The sequence below is a fragment of the Homo sapiens genome, chromosome Y (assembly GCF_000001405.40).
Source record: "Homo sapiens chromosome Y, GRCh38.p14 Primary Assembly".
In the NCBI taxonomy this organism is placed as follows: Eukaryota; Metazoa; Chordata; class Mammalia; order Primates; family Hominidae; genus Homo; species Homo sapiens.
The window spans coordinates 23,281,271-23,291,888 of NC_000024.10; the positions used below are offsets into that span (position 1 = coordinate 23,281,271).

The window sequence follows — 10,618 nt, forward strand, 5'->3', positions numbered from 1 at the left end:
AAAGAGTATTACCTCTAAAATACCTGAACTTCTTTCCCCCATTATACCTAGTTCTGAAAACATTTGAAAGCAGCTGTTCTAATGTTTCTGCCTAGTTTATTCTTTAAGGATAGCGATTAATCTAGCTCTTCTTTACTTGCAATGATTTCCAGTTGACTCCTCATATAAACTGCTGACTTCGGGATATATTCTCGGTCTGGAATGTATAGATTTCTGACCTATTTTACTGTACCTATAAATCCTGTGAATTTCTGGCATGTAATTTCTCTGATCCTGATTACTTTGATATTTAAAGTAGGATTTGACATACTCTATCACTTATTGGTGATAAATAACGTCTGTTTTCTTCTTAGTCCATTTTATTTATGTGTTAGTTTAAAAGACATTTTCTTTGATGGAAAATAAAGTAACAAAATAGTAGTGAAATAGTTCTTCAGTGTCTCTCATTTATTGACATTTTCTGTGTACTTGAAATGTGTAGGATATACCTCTTCTTCTTTTTTCTTCTCTGAACAATGGCTAGAGACAAAGCCCTACTTGTTTCTAACATTTACGGTGAGCCATTACTGAATTTGGGTGTATTCATGTATGCTGCTTCCTATATGTTTTCAAACAATAAGTATTTATCGAAACATATAAGACATCGTACTGTCCTTCTCCAGTTTTGGATTGTACACTGCCCTTAGTTTTTCGAAATGAAGTACAGAAAAAAAACATAACATCTGTAGGAGAACTACATATTACCCTGTAATATTGTCAAACACAAAACTATCTGGAAGTATATTGACAAAGAAATAGCAAATGTATTAACTTAACTTACATTGAGATCTGTCTTAATGGAGCCTTACCAGCAGTGTAAGAAACAACTTCTGGGTGGGCATAAGTACACAGTGTCAGTAAGGTGAACTTTGCCTGGTGAAATAGTCACTACTTTGTCATTTGTGTGTTCCCCCGCCCCACCCAAAGGGGCTTAGCACTTGACAGAGAATATTTATTTCTTCCTGAAGTCATTCATTCATTTAGAATTCTGCATTGTTTTATATAGAAAATTAATAAATATTTTAAAGTTTTTCATTTTTTTTATTTTGGGAATAATATTTTTTTCTAATTTAAAAAGATGTTTTACCATATTCATTCTTTCTGTAAACTTACTTTCAGACATATCCTACTTATCCAAATTCACCAGGTCAGGTCACCACTGGGTGTCAGTTGCCTGTATGTAATTATCAGGTAATTGAAGAGGGAGTAAAATGATTTGTTTTCAGATATTATTGAAGCCTTTAACTTGTTTATATGAATTTCCCAAATAGTGTGTCATTTTAAACTAGTGAAATGTACCTAAAATTTAGGAAAACACTTGCAATGGTCTAGAATGAAGCCCTCTGTATTATTTAGAAGTAATGAATTAACATTTTGACAGGGATATACTTAGCAATAACTTTTCTGTAAAACAGTTTTCTGAGATTCGTTGTCCCCTTCTATATTTCAGCGTGTATTTTTTCATCTTTTTCATCTTTTTATCATCCCATTCTTAGAGCACAGAATTCCAATTATATTTTTATTTTAAGCTTGCTGCTTCATGATAGTAGTTCTCTGGGCCTCTTTTCATAGATATGACTACATCTGTGACCCATAATCATATCTATGGTGATAAGTAATAAATTGAAAAAACTAGTATCCTTGAGATTTCCACAATGCCAACTCCAGAAAATTGGGAAAATGGCGAGGTTTTATGTATAAAAGTAACAAGAACATCAGGGATTAGAAACATAAAGTACTTCTTTTTTTTTTTTTACTCTGTTTCTTTCACTTTAATAACAAATGAGCCAGCATGATAAGTGCTTCAATATTGTGTATCTCATGAGTTTTTGAAAATGTGTAGGAATATTTTAATAGTTTTGGTTTCCTTCTTTTTATTTTTTTAAGGTGCTACCGCAGTGGCCTGTTGGGGAGCAAAAGGGGTTATGGAGTAAAGTGAATTAGTGAAACGTATACTTCCTCATCTTTCTTGACTTTTTTCTATGCCATATATGCCTGTAGATATTTTTAAATGGTTCTTTATATTAATGTTTTATGTTTTGTTACTTTATTTTTAACCCAATTATAAACTCCCATGGGAGCAACAGTGCCTTTTTGTCTCTCACATTTTTGTGTGCTGAAACAGTGGCTGGTCCACATAATGATAAGTGTTCAGTTACTTGTTGATAGATTATATAATCCAGGAATGGCGGTATTAACTGGCTTTAGAATTAGCATGTATCTGCCTAGAATATGCCTCTGGCTTTACTAGCCATAAAACATTTGTTGAGGAGAAACCGAAATGTTTTGCTATTAATTACTCTTAAAGAGGAATAGGAATAAAACAAGAGTATTACCTCTAATACAACAGAGTTGCTGTCTTACATCACGATTGGATATTTGAAGGATATAGTAAGTGTTAAAATTCTCAAACACTCCCTTAACTACATTTGTTTCTTAGAATCCTTCTACCTCTGATTATGTTGATACCTGGAAGACGTTTTAAAACAAAAGGCTGCCTTAATGCATTTCAACTTTTCGTTTAAAACAAGGTTTCTGAAGTAACACAATTGAATTTCAACACAACCTACATTGAAACTTTTGATACCAGCTCACCTTTTTGAGGAATAAATAAGTAGCTTTTAAACGTATCTGTATTATCTGTTTAATTACACTTTCATTATTTTAAATATAGGCTTATTCAGCTCTTAACTGTCACTGTAGTGAAGTTGATACAGGAGGTGATGTTGTGCTAAATGAATGCTCAATTCATGAAGCTACCCCACCCTCTGGAAATGGCCCACAAAAGGCAAACATCTAATTTTGAATTTTTTTTACAATATATATTTCATATTTTTTTTCTAATTTGAATGACTTTTTTTGAGAAGCAAACATTTTTGCCCAAATTTAAAAATGTTAGCCATAAATCATGGAGCTTAAATAATGGACTGATAGTCAGCAGTTAATGTAAAGGTTGTTGAAATTTCAGATACCCCAAATTTTCAGTATATACCTAAAGTTTCTGATTCAGCAAGTCCTTTCCTGTATTTCAGTTTCACTAATTTTAAAAAGCCATTCTTTAATAAATACTGTATTAATATGATTTGGCAGAATGCTATGGGAGGGTTTCCTCTAGAATTCTACTCAAAAGAAGAATTAGTACGAATTGTATGTCCCTTTTCTTTTACAACAGTTTTGATCTTAAGCAGTGAAAAATACCATTTAAATAAGCATTCTCTCCATAACATTATATGTGGCAGAAGTTTCCAACAGTGGTGAAGTCAGTAGTAATTATTCAAACACTGAAATAGACAGGGTTGTTTCTTTTTTTTATCATTAGTGCAAATTTCTGTAATAACAGTACTGTCACTCCTGGCGTCACATATGTTCTGTTAGATAGGTGGGCGTGTGGAAGTAGTTGATGTGCTGGTAATATGTATAATACCCAAGAAGTCCCATTGCAGTGTAAATTCCTTGATTTGATATTGGATTTTAAAATGTGAATAAATATGAAAACATAACTCTTACAGTATAATTGTCTGGTTTTGTTCTGAGTATGTTTTCTTGAAACATTGGAATTCACTTAGGGATTTAACAAATTCAGCTTTTTAAACCAGTATTCTATCGCTAAGGTTCTAAAATAATTCTTCGATTTGTCAGAAAACGTACATACTGAGGATATGTGGCAGGAATTATGAATCACATTTTTATGAATTTCTTTTTTTTTTTGAGACAGGGTCTTGCGGTGTCGCCCAGGCTGGAAGTGCAGTGGTGTGATCTCGGCTCACTGCAACTTCTGTCTCCTAGGTTCCAGTAATTCTCCCTGCCTCAGCCTCCCCAATAGGTGGAATTACAGGCACCCGTCACCCAGCTAATTTTTGTATTTTTTAGTGGAGAAGGGGTTTCGCCATGTTGGCCAGGATAGTCTTGAACTCCTGATATCAGGTGATGCGTCCTCCTCGGCCTCCCAAAGTGCTGGGATTAGAGGTGTGAGCCACTGCTCCCAGCCTCTTTTAGCATTTTTGCATTTCTTTGGAAATAAACTGATATGTTCATTAAACCATCAAAAGAAAAACCAAAACACACCCTTATTAAGAGTGAGTGAAAGAAAGAGTTGTCTTTACATTACTGAAAACTTCTGTGTTTCAGAAATCTGTGGACCGAAGCATACAAATGGTGGTATCTTGTCTGTTTAATCCAGAGAAGAGACTGATAAATTCCGTTGTTACTCAAGATGACTGCTTCAAGGTATGAAAGGAATGGCATGCATAATTAAAAAGCACACTTGTTCCCTCTCAAGTTAGCTGTTTTCCTTGTGGCACATGTATTTTGGGCTTTCTTAGAGGAATTTTTTTTCTTTTTTTTTTGTTTTGAGACGGAGTCTCCTCTGTCGCCCAGGCTGGAGTGCAGTGAGTGGCCCCATCTAGGCTCACTGCAAGCTCCACCTCCCAGGTTTACTTAACGCCATTCTCCTGCCTCAGCCTTCCGAGTAGCTGGGACTACAGGCGCCCACCACCACGCCCAGCTAATTTTTTGTATTTTTAGTAGAGACGGGGTTTCACCGTGTTAGCCAGGATGGTCTCGATCTCCTGACCTCGTGATCCACCTGCCTCAGCCTCCCAAAGTGCTGGGATTACAGGCATGAGCCACCGTGCCCGGCCTAGAACATTTAATTGAACTGTTGGCATTTGACTGTAACCCAGTAAACCAGTGTGGGTTTTACCTGGCAGTATATTTTCTGCTGCCGAGCCTTGATATAATGTAGTCAAATTTAGGGAAGAATCCTGCAGCAGAAATTTGTAATTGAAAGGGTTTACTAGAGAAGAGAGTTAGTTGACTACCTTGACCAAATAGTAAAATAAAATTTTAGATACAGAAAGGAGATCTTGGCTGGGTGCAGAGGCTCACGCCTGTAATCCCAACACTTTGGGGGGCTGAGGTGGGTGGATTGCTTGAGCTCAGGAGTTCGAGGCCACCCTGGGTAACAAGGCAAAACACCATCTCTACAAAAAAATACAAAAATCAGCCAGTTGTGATGGTACATGCCTGTAGTGCCAACTACTCCAGAGGAGTCTGAGGCAGGAGGATCGCTTGAGCCTGGGAAGTTGAGGCTGCACTGAGCCATGATTGTGCCGTTGTAGTCCAGCCTGGGCAACAGAGTGAGAGACCTTGTCTCAAAAAAAAAAAAAAAAAAAAAAAAAAGTAGAACTTAATACATGCATATTGGACTAAAGAGAAGAAAAGAAATGATTTACTCAGATGATACACCTGAACAGTGTGAAGGGAGAAAAGGGGTAAAATGAAGCAGTAAAAAGTTGAGTAGAAAGAGAGGTTGATTCAGAGTTGGTGAAGCGGAAGAGAATGTGGCTAGTTGAATTCCAGAAAGATCTGACTTCTGATCCCACTTTCTATCCATGTTGGATAGATAAATCTTTTATTAAGGCTCTAATTCTTACAAGTCTAAAATGAGAAGGTACAGGACTAAAGGTTTCTGGGTCCCTGTGGTTCTAAGTCTATAAATACGAAAAAGAACTAACTTGGTCAGTCCGGTGGGAGAAAAATATTATGGTTAATAAAGGGAAGGTGTTTTTTAAATAACAATTTTATTAAAATAATACCAGTAATACAATTTATGTATTTAAAATGTGCACTTCACTGTTTTTTCATATATTCAAAGTTGTGCAACCATGTCCACAATCAATTTTAGAATATTTAAATCACCTCAAAAATCACCCCCGTACCTTAGCAGTCACCTGCTATTTTCCTGGAACTTGTGTGTATCCCTAGGCAAACACTAATTTACTTTTTTCCTCTAAGGATTTTCCTGTCCTGGAGATTTCTTGTATATGGAATCATACATAATGATGTGGCATTTTGTGACTGGATTTTTTCACTCAGCATAATGTTTGTAAGGTTCATCAATATTCTAGCACGTATCAGAACTTAATCATTTCTTTTTATTTGTAGATATTACCTTATTCTGTTTATGCATTCATCTGTTAAAGACATTTGGATTATTTCCACTTTTTAGCTGTTATAACTAATGCTGTGAACATTCATGTACAAGTTACTGTGGGGACATACGTGCTTACCTCTCTTGCGTATATACTTGGGAATGGAATTGCTAAGTCATATTTAACCTTTAGTGGAACTGCCAGATTTGTCAAAACTGGCTACACACTTTACATTCAAAAGAAAATGTTTAACCATCACTTTGTGTCTTACAACAGAACTAGCTTATTTTTGTCTGTGAATGGATATGGGATGAAGCCTAAGCCTTTTTAAAGGGTTATATTATGAATCTTCTGTATAATGTAGAAGAGTAGAGCCAGATAGCAGAATTAAGTTCTTAACATCTTTGCAACATGGAGTAAATATATTTAAATTTGACATTTGTTCTCTTGTTGCTTCGTTCTATATAGATAGTACAATTTAGAAAAGAAAGAACTGGAATTGTACATCAGCTTATCTTGCCGAAAATTCTGATTACATTGGTGTCTACAGTAGTACTTAAGTGATTTTCAAAGCAGAAGATAGTTTTTTGTGTTTCTTTCTTTCTTTCTTTTTTTTTTTTTTGAGGTGACCTCATTTGGTCATCCAGGCTGGAGTGCAGTGTCGCAATCACAGCTTACTACAACCTCAAACTCCTGCACTCAAGGGATCCTTCTGCCTCAGCGTCCCAAATAGGACGACAGACGTGCACCACCACACTTAGCTAGTTAAAAAGAAATTTTTTTTTTTTTTTTTTGAGACAGAGTCCCACTGTGTCACCCAGGTTGGAGTGCAGTGGTGCGATCTTGGCTCACTGCAAGTTCTGCCTCCCAGGTTCATGCCATTCTCCTGCCTCAGCCTCCCGAGTGGCTGGGACTACAGGTGCCTGCCACCACGCCCAGCTAATTTTTTGTGTTTTTAGTAGAGATGGGGTTTCATCGTGTTAGCCAGGATGGTCTCGATCTCCTGACCTTGTGATCTGCCCGCCTCGGCCTCCCAAATTGCTGGGATTACAGGTGTGAGCCACCGTGCCCAGCCAAAAGATTTTTTTTTAAGAGAGAATCTTACTATATTGCCCTGGCTCGTCTTGAACTCCTGGGCTCAAGTGATCCTCCTGCCTCAGCCTCCCAAAGTGCTGGGATTACAGGCGTATGCCACCATGTCCAGCCCAGAAAATATTTTTTTAAACTTGAGTTCTCACCTGGTGGTAGACAAAAGACTCGCTTTGAAACTTCCAGAGTTTTCTGCTTATTTGGGAGAGGAATCAGAAGTTGGCATCCTGCAGTTGTCTGACATTTAGACCTATTTTAATTGACTGCACGTTGTTATATTGAATTAGAATGCCTGAGATATTTTTGAATGTATTTACAATTTCCATAGCCGATTTCTCTTCATTGTCTTAGTTATCTAGCCCTTTCACAATCTTGTTTCCTACATGACCTCTGAATATACATGTTGGTGACCAGTTTTCTAGATTTTAACCTAAATTGATTATCACTCTTTTGACAGATGAGGTAACTTCCAGAAGCCACTTTTATTTATATGAAAATGAAACTGAAGTCTTAAAAAAAGGGCACAGCTTTGTAGAAAAGGAAATGTTATTACTCGTTCACTCATTCCCATTCCTCCTTGTAAGACCTCTCACTTCTCTCTGCACGTCTGCAGGCAACATAGAGTGAAAAGAAAGTTTTGCATGTATTTTAAAGTTTTATCTTCCTTTCTAAAGAATGATATGTCTTCACAGGTTAATGATATGTTCTTCAAATGCCAAAACTTACATATTTTAATCTAAAAACACGAAATTTCAGATTGGAGAGCAGTTCGCAAGCTGTAGTTGGTATTAAATGCAGTTCAATTAGTGAAAAAAGTATTCTTTACAATTACATTTTCTACCAGCTGTCTTTGGGACATTACTGCAAAATTATTAACTAAGAAGTACATAAAATGATACTGAGTTTAAGTCCTTTTATTTCTCAGTTTACTGGAATTTGTTTTATTTAATTATTGATTTCTTTTTTTAACTGTTTAATAAAACTAGCCATCTTGGTACATTTGTTATCCCAGTGTTCAAATATGCTTCCTGAAAAGAATCATCTTTTTTTCTCATTATTTATAATGTTTAAACCCAAAACAAATGGTTTAAGTTTTGACAACTTTCAGATCCATAGTAGTCATCAGAAATTTTCAGTAAAATAAAAGGACTATTTCTGTCTTTTCCAGGGTAAAAGAGTGCATCGCTTTAGAAGAAGTTTGGCAGTATTTAAATCTGTTGGATCCTCTCAGCTATCTAGTTTCATGGGAAGTTGCTGGTTTTGAATATTAAGCTAAAAGTTTTCCACTATTACAGAAATTCTGAATTTTGGTAAATCACACTGAAACTTTCTGTATAACTTGTATTATTAGACTCTCTAGTTTTATCTTAACACTGAAACTGTTCTTCATTAGATGTTTATTTAGAACCTGGTTCTGTGTTTAATATATAGTTTAAAGTAACAAATAATCGAGACTGAAAGAATGTTAAGATTTATCTGCAAGGATTTTTAAAAAATTGAAACTTGCATTTTAAGTGTTTAAAAGCAAATACTGACTTTCAAAAAAGTTTTTAAAACCTGATTTGAAAGCTAACAATTTTGATAGTCTGAACACAAGCATTTCACTTCTCCAAGAAGTACCTGTGAACAGTACAATATTTCAGTATTGAGCTTTGCATTTATGATTTATCTAGAAATTTACCTCAAAAGCAGAATTTTTAAAACTGCATTTTTAATCAGTGGAACTCAATGTATAGTTAGCTTTATTGAAGTCTTATCCAAACCCAGTAAAACAGATTCTAAGCAAACAGTCCAATCAGTGAGTCATAATGTTTATTCAAAGTATTTTATCTTTTATCTAGAATCCACATATGTATGTCCAATTTGATTGGGATAGTAGTTAGGATAACTAAAATTCTGGGCCTAATTTTTTAAAGAATCCAAGACAAACTAAACTTTACTGGGTATATAACCTTCTCAATGAGTTACCATTCTTTTTTATAAAAAAAATTGTTCCTTGAAATGCTAAACTTAATGGCTGTATGTGAAATTTGCAAAATACTGGTATTAAAGAACGCTGCAGCTTTTTTATGTCACTCAAAGGTTAATCGGAGTATCTGAAAGGAATTGTTTTTATAAAAACATTGAAGTATTAGTTACTTGCTATAAATAGATTTTTATTTTTGTTTTTTAGCCTGTTATATTTCCTTCTGTAAAATAAAATATGTCCAGAAGAGGCATGTTGTTTCTAGATTAGGTAGTGTCCTCATTTTATATTGTGACCACACAGCTAGAGCACCAGAGCCCTTTTGCTATACTCACAGTCTTGTTTTCCCAGCCTCTTTTACTAGTCTTTCAGGAGGTTTGCTCTTAGAACTGGTGATGTAAAGAATGGAAGTAGCTGTATGAGCAGTTCAAAGGCCAAGCCGTGGAATGGTAGCAATGGGATATAATACCTTTCTAAGGGAAACATTTGTATCAGTATCATTTGATCTGCCATGGACATGTGTTTAAAGTGGCTTTCTGGCCCTTCTTTCAATGGCTTCTTCCCTAAAACGTGGAGACTCTAAGTTAATGTCGTTACTATGGGCCATATTACTAATGCCCACTGGGGTCTATGATTTCTCAAAATTTTCATTCGGAATCCGAAGGATACAGTCTTTAAACTTTAGAATTCCCAAGAAGGCTTTATTACACCTCAGAAATTGAAAGCACCATGACTTTGTCCATTAAAAAATTATCCATAGTTTTTTTAGTGCTTTTAACATTCCGACATACATCATTCTGTGATTAAATCTCCAGATTTCTGTAAATGATACCTACATTCTAAAGAGTTAATTCTAATTATTCCGATATGACCTTAAGGAAAAGTAAAGGAATAAATTTTTGTCTTTGTTGAAGTATTTAATAGAGTAAGGTAAAGAAGATATTAAGTCCCTTTCAAAATGGAAAATTAATTCTAAACTGAGAAAAATGTTCCTACTACCTATTGCTGATACTGTCTTTGCATAAATGAATAAAAATAAACTTTTTTTCTTCAAATGTGTTTTTGGCTTTCCGATGTAATAATGTAAAATGGTGGGGAGTTGCGTGGGAACTGTGTAACAAGGTTTAAATTCGTATAACAAGCTTTAGATTCTTAAAATGCAGAAGTATAAAGTTCAGTATACTAATCTGTCTGAGTTAGCCCATAAAAGCAAATGTAGGTACAAAGATAAGTTTAAGAGGTGCATCAACAGCAGTGCAGACTAGGAATGCTGATGAACACATCCGACTCTGCTATCTCACGGCTAAGGTCCCTCACATTTTGGACCCTATGAAGCATTTTGTCTACTGTACACTTTGGGCCTAGTCTCTAGATCATTTATTTCGGGGTATTGCAGTTGCCTAAGGGAGCTTAATTTTTTTATATTGCAGGTACTTCCTGTGGATACCATAAAAAAAAAAAATCAGTACCGCTTCTTCTAGCTTTAGTGTTAGTACTCAGTTCTATAAGCTGAGTCCAGTGGAGAGGAAACTCCTCAGACACTCCTGTATTTCATTAGTTAGTAAGCTTGCTGATTCATAACCAGAAAGTT

General features: G+C 35.4%; 1 protein-coding gene across 7 annotated transcripts in view; it reads left to right on the forward strand.

Annotated features, from left to right (window-relative positions):
• DAZ2 (deleted in azoospermia 2) overlaps nt 1-10,086 on the forward strand; it is a 71,900-nt gene extending 61,814 nt beyond the window's left edge. For all 7 annotated transcript variants that reach the window (NM_020363.3, NM_001005785.2, NM_001005786.2 and 4 more), the window contains 2 exons: nt 4,168-4,266; nt 8,230-10,086. In NM_020363.3, coding sequence (NP_065096.2) covers nt 4,168-4,231 — 64 coding nt within the window. In that variant the 3' untranslated portion in view covers nt 4,232-4,266; nt 8,230-10,086. The remainder of the gene's footprint in view (nt 1-4,167; nt 4,267-8,229) is intronic.